Source organism: Homo sapiens, chromosome 5, assembly GCF_000001405.40.
Source record: "Homo sapiens chromosome 5, GRCh38.p14 Primary Assembly".
Taxonomy (NCBI): domain Eukaryota; kingdom Metazoa; phylum Chordata; class Mammalia; order Primates; family Hominidae; genus Homo; species Homo sapiens.
Genome location: NC_000005.10, coordinates 161,337,190 through 161,353,454, shown reverse-complemented (window position 1 = coordinate 161,353,454; position 16,265 = coordinate 161,337,190). Strand labels below are relative to the sequence as shown.

The window sequence follows — 16,265 nt, the reverse complement described above, 5'->3', positions numbered from 1 at the left end:
ACGTTCCTGTATCTGTCAATAACCAATGTGGAAGGAAGGGGCTTCCCCATTCTCAACTGGTTTACCAAGTTTGGAAAGGTAGTGGTCAAGGTACTCCTTCCTTTACTACTCTGTCCAGTCCTGCAACAGGAGGTATATTACTTTATCAGATATTTTTAATGTGCTTAGTATTCACTGACAATGCAGATTAAGTGATCTGCCCAATTCCAAATCCCTGAGTGAGCACTTAGTAGCTTGTGCATAAGAAATAAACAACTATTTTCTAATTTGAACTGAAGCCAAAAGTTGTATTAGAAGCTTAATTGTTAAACTATCTAAAATTAAAAATAAATATTTTGCCTTAGCTATAAATATAAGTAATCAGAATAATAATAGCCAGTAATCATTAAGACAGTGTTCTAATTGCTTTGCAGGTATTTTCTATAGTTCTTAGAACAACATGGAAAATATAAGCAGTATCATTGGCTTTTTTACAGTAGTTAGGCTTTAGTGACTTAGTAGAAAGTAGGCAGAATTTGAATGGAAATCTACCTGATTCCAAAAATTGTGTTTGTTCTACTAAGACCGTGTGGCCATTTCCAAGATAACAGGTTTATTAGGTTTTTTATTTATTAATTTTACTTGACAAAAATTATATATATGTAAAATTATGTACAGCATGAAGTTTTGAAATATGTACACATAGTAGAATAGACAAGCTCAATCTAATTAACATATACATTACCTTACATACTTATTTTTTGCAATGAGAACACATAAAATCCATTCTCAGCAATTTTCAAGCATAAAATACTTTGTTATTAACTATAGCTACAATGTGGGACAATAGATCTTTTGAATTTATCTCTCCTATCTAACTGAAATTTTGTAACCTTTGATTACCATCTCCCCAGTCCCACTCCTGCCAGCCTGTGGTAACCGTCATTCTACTCTCTACTTAGATGAGTTCAACTTTTTAGATTCCACATACAATTGAAATTATGCAATATTTGTCTTTCTGTTCTTGCCTTATTTCACTTAACATAATGTCCTCTAGGTTCATTCATGTTGTCGCAAATGACAGGATTTTTTTTTTGTCTTTTTAACCCTGAGTAGTATTTCACTAGGTATATATACCAAATTTTCTTTATCCACTTATCCATTGATGGACACAGGTTCATTTTATATCTTGGCTATTATAAATAATATTTCAGTGAACATGGGAGTACAGGTATTTTGTTGTCATACTAATTTCAATTCCTTTGTATATATACCCAGTAGTGCAATCGCTGGGTCATATATATGGTAGTTCTATTTTTAAGTTTTTGAAGAACTTCTATACTGTTTGCCATAGGCTATATTAAATTTACATTCTTGCCAGTGGTATATAAGGGTCCCGTTTTCTCCACATCCTCACCAATACATATCTTTTGTCTTGTTGATAATAGCCATCCTAACAGGCATGAAGTGATATCTCACTGTGGTTTTAATTTGCGTTTCTCTGATGATTAGTGAGATTGAGCATATTTTTATATACCTGTTTGCCATTTATATGTCTTCTTTTAAGAAATGTCTATTTAGGTTATTTGCCCATTTTTTAATTGGATTATTTGTTTTCTTGCTATTGAGTTGTTTGAGTTCCTTATATATTTTGGACATTAACCCCTTATTAGAAGTATGGTGTGCAAATACATTCTCCTATTCTGTAGGTTATCTCTTCAATGTGTTGATTGTTTCTTTTGCTGTGCAGAAGCCTTTTAATTTGATGTATTCCCATTTGTATGTTTTTGCTTTTGTTGCCTGTGCTTTCTGGGTAATAGCTCCAAAAATTATTGCCCAGACCAATGTCATGGAGCTTTTCCCGCTTTGTTTTCTTCTAGTAGTTTTACATTTTTAGGTCTTACATTTAAGTCTTGAGTCCATTTTGAATAGATTTTTGTATCTGGCATGGAACAAGGGTTTTAATTTCATTCTTCTGCATATGCATAACTGGTTGTTCCAATGCTATTTATTGAAGAGATTGTCCTTCCCCATTATGTGTTCTTGGCATCATTGTTAAAAATCAATTGACTATAAATATGTGGATTTATTTCTGGGCTCCTTATTCTGTTCCATTTGTCTATGTGTTTGTTTTTATGCCAGTACCATGCTATTTTGATTACTATAGCTTTGTAATATATTTTGAAGTCAGGTAGTATAATGCCTCCAGCTTTGCTCTTTTTTCTTCAAAATTGCTTTGCTTATTCAAAGTCTTTTGTAATTTCCTATGAACTTTAGGATTGTTACTTCTATTTCTGGAAAAATGTCATTGGAATTTTGATAAGGAGTGCATTTAATGTGTAATATGAACATTTTAATAATTTGAATTCTTCCAACTCATGAACATGTGTGTATTCTCTAAAGGGACAGAACTAATGGGATAGATGAATATGTGAAGGGGACTTTATTAGGAGAATTGACTCACATAATCACAAGGGGAAGTCCCACAGTAGGCCGTCTGCAAGATGAGAAGCCAGGAAGCCAGTCCCCAAATTTCAAAAGTAGGGAAGCCAATAGTGCAGCCTTCGGTCTGTGACCAAAGGCCAGAGACCCCCTGGAGAGTCACTGGTGTAAGTCCAAGAGTCCAGAAGCTGAAGAACTTGGAGTCTGATGTTCGAGGGCAGGAAGCATTGAGCATGGGAGAAAGATGGAGACCAGAAGACTTAGTCATTCTAGTCCTTCCATGTTCCTCTGCCTGCTTTTATCCTGGCTGCACTGGCAGCTAATTAGATGGTGCCCACCCAGATTGAGGGTGGGTCTGCTTCTCCCAGCCTACTGACTCAAATGTTAATCTCCTTTGGCAACGCCCTCACAGACATATTCAGGAACATCCTTCAATCCAGTCAGGTTGACACTCAATATTAACCATCAAAATGTGCTATCTTTTCATTTCTTTGTATTATCTTCGATGTATTTTATGAGTGTTTTATAGCTTTCTGTGTACAGGTCTTTAGCCTCTTTGGTTTAATTTATTCTTAATTTTATTTTTTAGCTATTATAAATTGAATTGTTTTATTGATTACTTTTTTGGTTACTTTGTTGTTAGTGTACAGAAACTTTACTGATTTTTATGCTGATTTTATTTCTTGAGTCTTTATTGAATTTGTGTATTAGCTCTAAAAAATTTTTGGTGGCACCTTTTGGATTTTCTGTATATATCATATCATCTGCAAACTGGGACAATTTAACTTCTTCCTTTCTAATGTGGATGCCTTTTATATTCTCTTGCCTAATTGCTCTATGACTTCCAGTTGAATAGAAGGGACAAGAGTGGACATCCTTGTCTTATTCCTGATCTAGAGTAAAAGCTTTAAACTTTTCTCCATTAAGTAGAATGTTAGCTGTGGATTTGTCATTGACAGCCATTATTGTTCTGACCACATTCCTTCTATACCTAATTTGCTAAGAGTTATTATTATGAAAAGGTTTGTTATTTATTTACTTCTGATTATCAAATTGCCCTAAAGCTTAACAGCTTAAAACAGACATTTCTTATTTTATAACTTTTGAGGATCAAAAATAAGGATTGGCTTAGCTAGGGGATTCTGGCTCAAGGTCTCTCATGAAGTTGCCATCAAGCTGTTTTCTGGGGCTATGGTCTCGTTTGAAAGCCCAAACAGGAAAGGCTCTTCTTTCAAGCCCACTTAAGCAGTTGTGGCAAGCTTAAGTTTCCTGCAGGCTGTTGGAAAAGGGCATCAGTTCTTCTGACTGTTATCTGGAGAGCTCCCTCAGTTTCCCACCATGCGAGTCTCTCCATGGGGCAGTTTACAACATGGAAGAGCAAGAAATCAGAATGAGAGAAAAAGGCTGCAAGGAAATCCTGGACAGAACCTTCAGTCTTTTTATAACCTAATCTCAGAAGGAACACCGCACCACCTCTCTTGTATTCTGTTTTTCAGAAGTGCATCAATAAATACAGCCTACACTCCAGGGGAGGGGAATTAAGCTCCACCATTTGTGGGCTATCAAAGAATTTGTGTACATATATTTCAAATCACCACAGCATACTAATTCCATATTCAACTTGAATACAAGAACTATAAATACTTAAGGATGTTGCATTTATCTTGACAGAATTTGGGTCTTGATGATTGTTTAATAAATGGCAGTTATTTAATTTTCAATATCTTAATAATCATTTAATATCTCTCATAGGTCCCGTAGTTTGTTTTGGGTTTTTTTTTAAGTTTATTTAAGGAATTTTTTTTCCTGAAGCCAGGAATATAATTGGTAGTTTAGAAAAGAACAGATTTGCATAAATATTGGTCAAGGCTTTTTGTATTACTTGAGCTATTTTCTGCATAACTGTTTTTTGAGATGAAAATGTTTTATTCTATGCGAGAAGTCCCAAATGGTAACTTCTTGGCCGGCACTAATGAAGTCACTTTCAGAGTCTTGTTTGTGTGAATTAATTTGCATAGATATTTAAGGGGCATATGAAGAGAGTTGGCAATTCACTTATTCACATACATTGGCCTTTCAGTAGGTTGATAGTCTGATATGAATGAACAATAGCTTCAATTATATACAAATGCATTAGTTTCCTTTTTAAAATATACAAGCTCCACTTCATCAAAGGATAACCAAATGAGTTACATTAAATTTAAAACTTTTCAAATATATATTTATATTAATTTAGTCTAAAACATAACAATGACCTTTAAATCCCTAGCTATTCAAAAGTGAATTATGTTTGCTTCTACTACAGAGGAAGACAAGTTGGCTACTTTTTGGTAATTTTTAATAATTAAAATTGTAATGAATTGTTTATAATTTTAATTAAATCACAGGATTTTAGATTATAGATCCTTTGGAACTGTGATTCTCAAAGTGTGGTCCAGAGACACTTGGGGGTTTCGGAGACCCTTTTGATATGTCCTTGAGGTCAACACTTTCTTCATAACAAAAACAAGACTTGACTTGCCTTATTCACTTTCATTTTTTCACAATGTACAGTCATGTTTTCCAGGAGCTAAATGAAATAAGGTATTTCGAAAATAAATGTAGAAGCAAATGTGAGAATCCAACTATCTTCTGTTAATCATTAACATTAAGGAGATTTACAGAAATTTATAGCAATATAGTCTTCTTAATTTTCTTTTGTTTTAGAAAATATAGTTATTCTTCATAAAACGTTATTTATATTCATTAGATAATAGGATCGTTTTTGTTGGTTTCAATTAATTAATGATATTTTTAAATTTATGTTTTAATTCCTAACATGGTAATTATGAAGTGCTATAACCCACATAAAATTATTTTGTAATCCTTAATAATGTTGCAGTATAAAGGGATTCTAAGACCAAAAATTTGAGAATTGCTGTTTTAGAATAACAATTTTTTTCAGATATAGAAACTGAGCTCTATAAAGAGTATATGATTTGCTCAAAATTCTACAGCCCATGTATAGCAGGGCGGGGACAGGAACCTAGGTAGGACTTCTGATTTGTGTTATGTCATATGGCTTAACCTATAATATTCATAAAATCAGTTGGAAATTCCCTTTAGCAATGTCCAGCTGTGATTATGAATGTCATCCTGGAACTAAAGATGTGTAAATCATTCAATGAATGGGGAAAAAAATGGTTTGTTTTCTGTTTGCTACAGAACCCAGCATTCTCCATTAGATTTTGCTACTTTTTAATCTAACCCAAAACCTAGTAGATTAAAACAAAAAACATTTATTGTCACTCAGAAGGCAGGTCAGCTGGGAGGTTCTGCCAATCCAAGCCAGGCCCAGATGATTTTAGCTGGGCTCACATATGCATCTGTGGTCCTCACACAGGTGGGCTGAAGACTGTCTGGCTAGCTGCCATGATGAAGGTAACTGAATCACATGGCCCTCATCATACTGCAGGCTATCCAAGGCCTGTTTGCAGCATAAGTTTAGACCTGGCCCAAGGATACTGTTTTTGATTAAAGCAAGTAGCAAGGGCAGCTCACATTCAAGGCGTGGGGAAATACTCTACCTCTGCATGCGGGGAGCTGCAAAGTCACATTACAAAGTAGAGTGTACATAATTACAGATTTTTTTGTAATTTTACAAAATTATTCAAAAATATGGCTTTGAATAATAGTGTCAAGTGTTAAATGTAGTGACTATGGGACTGAATTTCAGTGTTAAAGCAGATTGAGTTCAATCCTTATTTCTGGCATTTGGACAAGTCACTTAACCTTTCTAACTTGCACAGTCTTCATCTGTAAAATGAGAAAAATAGTTTCTCCAGTAAAGGATTCTATTAACGATTAGATGAGGCAATGCATGTAAAGTACTTGGCTTCACACAAGAAATGCTTTAGAAATATTAGCTAGTGGCCATTTAAAAAGCTCATGCTCTAGATCAATTCATTGAACTGACTCTCCTAGACAAAATAGCAGTGCCATGTTTAACTGTGCATATATGTCTACATGAGCAGCAGGCCTGCTGTCCACCTCCGAAGTTTCTCTCTTGCTATTTACATGAGCCCTTTCTTCTAACACAAGTTCAGTCTATCTCAGTAAATATGTACTAAATAGCTGATATTTGCCTCCTTTCTGCTCCAAGCCATGGTTACAAATTTAAAGAATGAATGATCTCTGTTTAAATAAAAACTCATAGTTGAGTAAAAAAGATAATTTCCTTACCAGATAATTTCAATTAAATGTACTAAGTGCTAAGAGAGGATAGCACAGATAAGGGTTCATATCTAGAGTTTAGGGACAGTATGAAAATTTGTCTTATTAGTCAAGATACACGCTAACAGTACATATTACAGACTAATAACTCTTTTAGACCCAAAGTTTATCTTCAGGAGCATCCTGCCTGCAATCCCTTAAATAAGCAAGTCTTCAGCTGACCCCATCCCAGTGAAGATGTACAAAAGAATGGGTTAAGATGGAGAGACCCAGACTAGTTCCTACATCATTCAGCTGGGACTTTACTTTCTCTGTTACCTCTTATTAGAAAGCAGATATGTTGGTGTAACAGTTGACACTTTATTGCACATTTGTGCATATCACCTGGACCATTCAATTGGCCTTGTTAATTTAAACATCTTCCATTATCACTTTTGAGTTAACAAACTCTTCTGTGTGACTATATCCACTTTTCGCCAGGGAACATTATTCCATTTGAGCTGTAGGTATTAGCTCCTTCTGGAGAAAATTGTGGCAGAGTGGTTTCCAAAATCTATCAGGCCAGTGAAAGTTATTATCAGAGGGTCATGGCCATTCAAAGGAAGTTTTTCTTCAACTTAGGAATGAAATTACGAATTAAAAGTCAGCAACATCAAGAAGTTTCCTTCAACACAGAGGCCTTTACTCTAACTTGGTAGCTACCTTTTATAAACAGGTACTGGCAGCATTGCCTTTCTTTTGATGACTCTGATACTCTGACACAAGTGCGTGGATATTCCATATTCCAAGCCACTAATGATGCTTAGGATTGCAATCCGACTACCTTGCAATTCTGCGAATGACATCTGCTCATCACTATATTCTCAGAGGGGGATCTGAGGAGCCACAAGTAAAAGGATTAGCAAGTTGACAGTTCAGTTCAGAAAAACTTGTGTGAATGCCACTCTGAATTAAGACCTGTATTAAGAAGGAAAAGAGCTATAGAGAAGGACCGGACATGGTTCTTCACCCTCTTGAAAGATAGTCTAGAGGGGAAGACTATCCAACACATCCACAAATCCTCTAATGCAAAAGTGGCTGTGAGGACCACACTAGTAGAAATTCAACTAGAGTGCTGTGGAAATATTAGAGGAGTAAAGAGAGAACAATTCCACCTTAAGGAAACCAAGATAGTGTCTTGGGAAAGTTGGAAGTTGAAATGTGTCTTTAAAGGGTGCAGAAATTTGATGTGAAAGGAGAAAATATTTCAAGTAACTGAAATAACTTGAACCAGAACCTTGAGGTCAAAGGAGTTCTGAGGATTGCTGAAGAGTATGAGCAAAAGATGAGAGATTTGAAAAAAGAATAAGAATAATAGAAAATGAGGCTGCAGGTAGAAGCCACAATGATGGAGTTTTGAATGCCTGAAGAATTTGCATTGAAGTTGAATTGAAGTGGGAAATTCTCACTTCCCCAACTGGGAAATCCATCAAGGAGTTTTCTATGTTTTTGTTTTTTTATTCTGTTTTGGTTTTTAAAGCATAGAAATAGATCATCAACTTTTTTTCATCTTTTAAAATTTTTATTGCGCTATAAGATACAAAGTGCACAAATATGAAGTATACTGATTAAATTTTTTTCTTTTTCTAAATTATATTTTAAGTTCTGTGATACATGTGCAGAACATGCAGATTTGTTAGATAGGTATACACGTGCCATGGTGGTTTGCTGCACCCATCAACCGGTCATCAACATCAGGTATTTCTCCTAATGCTATCCCTCCCCTAGCCCCCAGCCCCAGACAGGGCCCTGTGTGTGATGTTCCCTTCCCTGTGTCCATGTGTTCTCACTGTTCAACTCCCACTTATGAGTGAGAACATGTGGTGTTTGGTTTTCTGTTCCTGTGTTAGTTTGCTCAGAATGATGGTTTCCAGCTTCATCCATGTCCCTGCAAAGGACATGAACTCATCTTTTTTATGGCTGCATAGTATTCTATGGTGTATATGTGCCACATTTTCTTTTTCCAGTCTATCCATTGATTGGCATTTGGATTGGTTCCAAGTCTTTGCTATTGGGTACAGTGCTGCAATAAACATATGCGTACATGTGTCTTTATAGTAGAATGATTAATAATTTTTGGGTATATATTCAGTAATGGGATTGCTGGATCAAATGGTATGTCTGGTTGTAGATCCTTGAGAAATAGCCACACTGTCTCCCACAATGGTTAATCTAATTTACACTCCAACCATCAGTGTAAAAGCATCCCTATTTTTCCATAGCCCCACCAGCATCTGTTGTTTCCCATCAACTTTTTTTTTTAAAAAAACAAATAGTACCAGCATATGTAGCATAAATTGGAGGAAGGCGGAAACCCTAAAAGGTTGCTGACAAGTCTGTTGAAGAATATGAATAAAAGATGCAGAAATCCAATGCCAGAGTGCAGTATTCTTAGCCTAATGAGGCAAAATATTTACACAAAACTAGCGTGACTACAAATTTGCAGAAAAATTTTGGACCTAGCCCCATCTCTGTATTTTCTGCTATTGGTGATTGTAGGTTATAGACTATTTAAGGAAACCAGGCCCCTGAATAGAGACAGCATCAGCAATGTTTCCTCCTATTCCTTGTAAAGGAAATAGAACTAGGAAAAAATATTTTAATGCTGGAGCTTATGAAAACCTTTGTTCAGAAAAAATTTTGTTCTTCTTTGGATACGGCTAGATACAAGATTTTCCTTGCCTGACACTTACCACATGGCAAATGACTTATGCTCATTAAAAATCTCCCAATCTCCTGCTATGCTAAGGGTGGTCCATGGACAAAAAGCATCAGCATCACCTGGGAGTTTATCAGAACTTCACTATCTGGGGTTTCACCTATTAAATCAGAATCTGCATTTTCACAAGATTTTCAAGTGATTTCTGTGCACATTAGCTTAAGAAGCATTGGCCTACTCTGTATGCCAAAGGTTTTCTGACTTGTCAACATTACTTTAGGACTTAGAGCCCATGCATATGGACAAATCAAGGTTAGATGAAGGGGAAGAATCCTGATAATGATAACACTTCAGTTCTCTGTAGAGACGGACCTTATAAAGAGCTTAAGGCAGTGCCTGGTACATAGGGCTCTATAGTTGATAGCTGCTATATATTATTGTTGTTGTTGTGGCTATTTTGTTTATTATTATTAACTGCTTTCTTTTACCTGTGTCAGTAGATTAACTGCTTAGTCTCTCTAAACATACGTAAGAAAATTTAAGAAACACATCGTGGAGCCAAATTTGTAGAAACAGCCACCAGATCACCTTGCTCCCATACAAAGACAACAAATACACAGTTTTGCATTGGAATTTTAATAGATATATGGTCTTTAAAACCCACAATCTGACATTTTACTTGATTGTTAACGATTTCCTATTCTCCTACATCGTAAGATTTGAATTCAAAAAACTGAACATGCACAAAAAAAAATAGGTCATCTCTGATGAAGGATGAATGCTGGACCATGACTTACTTGATGGTGTCCTTACTAAGATGCCACTAGATAATCAAGCCTGACCTACCCTAGGTCGATTATTTTGAGCTACTTGAGGTCTAGAAATGATTTGACAGCAAAAAAAAATGTGTGTCTAGCAGTTCATCTAAAGAGCAGAGTGAAGAATAAGATGCAATTAAGGAGTCAGAGCAATCACTCAGAGTGTCTTTGGAACACTTTCGATATTGAGTTGAAAGAGTTATGACTGAGAAGTGTGTATCTGTCTCTGCCTCTCGAAAGATCCCAGTGACTCTAATTGGCATTGACTGCGCTCAGTCCTGTACCTGTGCAGAGCATACAGGCCTCTGCATGGAGTGGATTTCATTCTAACGGTGGACTGACAGACTTCTAATTATGGTCACTCAAGCTAGTCATGAGAAGAATGCTTGCCTTCTGGCTGAACATTCAATCATGCTGCTTCCCTGAAATATTTGTCTCTTTTGCTCCATTAAAAGATAATTCTATCTCTATGTTATTGCAACTTTTTTCTCTCCTGGAAACATTTTTGGAGGGAAAAATGGTTAACCCACTAAAAATCAGAATATGGTTCTGAGGAACTGTGGGTCTTCTCCAGTGCTTACCTGGCTTTTGAGGGGACATAAATAAATAGCACTGTGTATGGCTTCCCTAAAATGTGTGAATAATTGCAATCCAGTATTTTATGGAATGATTATACCAGGGAGGGTATTTTTATATGCTAAAAAATGTATATGGTTAAATAAATTTGGAATATTCCAGGAGTAAGTAAAATTAAGCAGATTATTTATTGCAGGTTTTCCTAAACTACTGTTTTAAATGTTTTATGACTCTATAATAGAGAGCCAAAATGTGTAGTTACTCCCAAATATATTGATTGCATAACCCTTTTCCATGAAACACATTACAGATTAGTGTTTCTCAGAACAGAAATCAAGTTTTACTAATAGTTATTTACAGACTAATAATAGTAACTATACAACATTTTAAATACAAATGGAGGGTATGTGTTAAATTATTTTATGATGAGGTATTTTATTCAAAAAGTGCTGTGATGTACACATAAAATGCTGTGATGTACACATTAAATTTATGCACGTTTTGAGATGGTTCTTAAAAGACTGAAACCACCATGACTAGTGTGAACTATCGCAATAACATTGACCCATAGTTCTCATTGATTGCCAATTGGTTATGATGACAAAATTAACAGATTAAAGAAACTGCTGTGTGACAATTGTTATATTGGATACAATCCTAGAATATTTACCAATCCAAATGAGAAACAAAGTTTAAAAAAGTAATGAGAGAACAATAAGTCACCTTAATTTCCCACTAGAAAAAATAATAATAAAGTATGTATATATATATATATATATATATATATATATAAAAGAAAAAATAAATAGTGGCATTAATTCACCTCTTCTAAATGTTCTCATTGGTTCCTGCTGTTTAATATCTTGGCACAGGTTCAGATTTTTTGCACAGTAAAACAATTCTAAAATGAAATATTGACTTAGTAGATAACAAAATATATAGATTGACAGTAAAGAGAGAAAATAACTTTTTAAAATGCCATGTTATATAATCAGATAATGTCACAGTTGTGAGATCATATTTAGTTATTGTGTAAATGTTTTAAAATGGTATTTCTATTTCTTAGATCACATATAATACATGTTTTTCTCAATGTTTCAATGAGAACGTATCTACCATTCGTATCTTATAGATATATATTTTATAGATTTTTATATTTGTTTTTCCTGATCAGAGGCTTGTAACATTTCATATTGCTTTAATTTCTTCAGGTGAATGCCAGTGAATTTGTATTTTAGTTTATTTATAGGCCCTCTGAATTATTATGTGTCTTATGTTTTTGATGATATAACAATACAAAATTATTTAATGACTCAGTTTCTGGAATCCCATGAATAAAATATAAATGATGAGTTTAATTTGCAGTACATTAACGAAGTGCTTCAGTGCATTTCCTTCTGATATCTTTTTAAAGAAATCTAATTTTTTTTTTACTCATCATTATTATGAAAGCTGTAAAAGTCAGGTCATATATATTTGCATATGTTTTCTTTTAGTTTTTAATCACTTTGAGAGACTGCTAAATATTCCTCCAGAGAATATCCAAAGAAAAGAAGAAAACAAGGTCTGCTTTAAACTCATCCTACATAGTATATTGAGTTGGCTTTTAACTTGACCACCCTGGAACTGTCATGGAGCTCGTTGCTCTTTCGTCTTCAGAAACCAATGATGCAATAGCAACATTTGCTTTCCATTTGCAATCTTCTATTCTTGGTTAGCCTAAAATAAAGTCAAGAGGATTGGATTTTCTAAGACAGGCAGTAGCCAGAAGTAAATACAGTGTGGTGTTTATTGTGTCAGATTCCAAAACCCAAAACATCAAAATAACTTTGAAACTTCTTATTAGCAATTTCCAGAACGTTGGAGAGTTCTATAAATGTGGTTGAACAGCTATGTTTTCCATTGTGCAAATTGTATGTATTCACTTAATAACCACAAAATGGGACATAAAATATGTTTTACATTTATTTTTAATAATTCTTATTTGAATAACTATCAACTGAAATATTTGTTATTATCTGCTGATGCTGTTCTAAGCATTTTACTTTTTTTTTTCTGCCTGACAGCTCTATGAAGTGGCCATTATTATTATATTAGTGTTGCAATTTACAGGTTGAGAAACAAAAGACAAAGAGATGTGCAGTAACTTAGGATGAACTAATACATAGGGAGAAATATATAGTGAAGAACCTTGAATTATTCTAAAGAGTTCTCTTTATTGGGTGTTTCTTTACTCACTCAGAAAATGTTTATTTAGTGCCAACTGTGTGCCAGCACTATGGTAAGAGCAAGAGGCAGAAATAAAAATGCAGTGCATGATCATTTACAATATATAAACATCTGGAGAAAGCATTTATATAAACCAACACCAGCCCAAAGTCACATGTGCATTAAATAATTGTTTTATTAATTTAATAATGTTTACTGAGTGCCTACTTCACACGAGGTATTGCCTAGCAAACACTGTCATTTTGCCAAAAGTTTGCAGTTCCTAGTAATGTTTCTGCTGTTGGAAAACTAATCAGCATCTCTTATATAACCTGGTTGAAATGCTATAGACATTCGCATTCCTCTGCCTACAGATAAGCTTCTGTTATAATATTTATCGCAATGGATAAAAGAAGGTAAATACTGAGGAAGATTAGGAGGAAAGAAACCTGGAGGACCACATATACTCTATTAGTTTAGACCTAGTTCCTTATATAAGAAATACTGTTTCATTTTTCTTTTCTCTTCTTTGGAAGATGGCTGCATTTTTTTGTAAAAAAAAATGGACATTTCTTAAACATAGCATGTATTTTTTATGTCCTAATGGTGGGGCAGGGAATGCAGTGGGAAAAAAATGCTTTCTTTGAGGTCAGTCACATAGATATGGCATCAAGTCCTTACTCTATCATTTGCCAGACGTGTGATTTTTAGCAAGGTCCTTAATCTCTCTGAATCTTAGTTTTCTCAACGATGAGATAAAGACAAAAGTAACTAACTTGCAGTATCAGGGCTCATTATTTCAAATAATGTGTATAAATACTGTTCACCTATAAAATGATTGTTGTGAAGATTAAATGAGATAATGGAAGTGAAGTGCTTAATAGACTTCCTAGTAAAATGAATAACATCACTCAATAAATAACAGCATTTATTTTAATTGCTATCATTATCTTTTTCATTTGCTAGACAAGTGGTTCTCAGTGTTTTTATGTGTCACCTACAATAGAATTATCTGGAATGCTTATCAAAAAGAAAATCAGATCCCCAAGCCAATTCCTGATTAGCTAAATAAGAATCTCTACTGGTTTCTTGGGCATCTTAAACCCAGTATCCCTGAAGTAGAGGCTTTAGCTGTCTGTAGAAAGGGTTGGTGTCTAGTTAACAAAGTGCTTAGTATATACCACCAACTAACGTAATAAATGGCAGTTGCTACTTTATAACATGCTGCCAGTTACTATCTTGGAAAACCAAGGAGAATCTTGGTTAGACTAACTTCATGGGAAATGATTACCATCTTTTTTCATAAATAACCTTTTTCATGTTTATGTAATAAAAAATTTTACAGTGCATTTCTGAGTACTTAGTTCAGTTCTAGGAGCTGTAGTCATTTTGTTATTTTGAACTGGTTTATCAAAGGTAGGATTGTCATTGTCTCTGAACGATTTCATAACTGAGAGATATGGATAAAGAACTGATAAGAAATTGGATTACATTTGACATGGAGCCTCAGACTGAGTATTTTGTCACCATATTAGGAAAGTTGAAATCATAGGAAAAGTACAGTTATCCTATGGGATAGGCATCTCATGTCTCAGGATTGGGTAGAAAATTTTATACAGAAGCGAGGGGCTCTTTTCTGAGAATTTGCCTACTGTTCAATTCACTTAATACCTAGAATGTATGTTGAAATCATGAGTCTGAAATTTACTTTTATGTATTTATTTATATATTTTTTAGAGGCAGAGTCTAGCTCTGTCACCCAGGCTGGAGTGCAGTGGTGCCATCATAGCTCACCGCAACCTCAAATTCCTGAACTTAATCCTCCCACCTCAGTCTCCCAAGTAGATAGGACTATAAGCATGTACCACCATGCCTGGCTAATTTTTTATTATTTTTTCATAGAGACAAGGTCTTACTATGTTGCCCAGGATGGTTTGAACTCCTGGCCTCAAGTGATCCTCCAGCATTGGCCTCCCAAAGTGCTGGGATTACAGGCATGAGCCACTGTGCCTGGCCCTGAAATTTACTTTTAAATGAAAGTTATGTAAAAAAAGAATTTATAGCAAAGCAGATGGCTCTACGTTAGATCATACTAATAAAATATTGCTGACGTATAATCAGTTAAAACTCTGCAATTTTGATTTCAATATAGTTTGTGGTGTTTGCAAGTAAAGAAGCCTTTTAAAAATCATTAACTATATCCGGAGGGCTTCTGTTGTGGTATTAGAAGTTCAAATGCTCTATAACTCTTCCAAAAAACTGTAGTTCTGCATCAGATAAAGATGGCTACTCTTATGAATAAAGGGAACTGTAGATTTCTAGGAAAGCTAAACCATACAGCCTGAGCTGTGCTGTTTGATGTAGATTCTCCAATTGAAGGTATCCTACTTCTTTGAAAAAAAAATTTGTTTCTACCTTATTTTAAAGATTGAACTCCCTCTCTTTGGAGGAAAGAGAAGTGGTTTGTTGAAAATCATCTGGGGCTAAGATTCAAGGATTGGTATTCTTGTCATCTCTGTCACACTGACTAGTCACATGTCAAAAGGCAAAGAATTTAAGCAGTCTTTTAAATTTATTGGGTTGTTTTTGGAAATGGCAGAGCAATGTCCACCTTGCCTGTCTCCCAGACTTGTGAACATCAACTATCCAGATGCAAAAGTTCTTTGAAAAGATAAATGTGATATCTCTTCACATGGAATGTGACATATGCTTTTTATTTGGGTTTTTTTTTGGAGGGTGGGTGAATTTGTAAGATATTATTAATATTCACTGGATTTTATGGCATACTTCCCTGTACAGCACTGTTTACAATCTAATATGTGCTTATTCATTGCTGTTATATGTTTGCTTACTAGCTAGGATTATATGTGTGCTCACTTCTTAAGATTGTACTCCACCCTGTGTATTGAGAGTATCATTAATAACAGAGAATATGTCTTTGTTATATAGACTCTCATCCCCAGCAACTGTGCCCTGATATGCATAGTAGGTGTTTAATAAATAGTTGTGGAATGAATGGAAGCATGCCTCCAAAATGCACTGTGCATGTCCAGTGTACACTATGCATTTATATCTACTCCTCAAAGTGATTGGAGTTAATGTTGTTTTGAGTTTTTCTGTGGAAGATTTTCTTTGAAACTAAATATGCTACAAAGTCAAATTTGAAAATCAACTACATGAATATTGAACAGATGATTCTTCTTCGTAATCACTTCTCTTCTGACTTGAAATTCAAATGTATTGTAATTCATATATTTTATATTGGGGGAGAATTTGATAATCAGCATTATACTAATAGTTTAAATTATTGTTCTCTTATTTTATCTTCTTAT

General features: G+C 34.6%; 1 protein-coding gene across 3 annotated transcripts in view; it reads left to right on the top strand.

The window, feature by feature from the left end:
• Positions 1-16,265, top strand: part of GABRB2 (gamma-aminobutyric acid type A receptor subunit beta2) — a 259,969-nt gene that overhangs the window by 194,950 nt on the left and 48,754 nt on the right. The gene's annotated exons all lie outside the window — the stretch shown is intronic.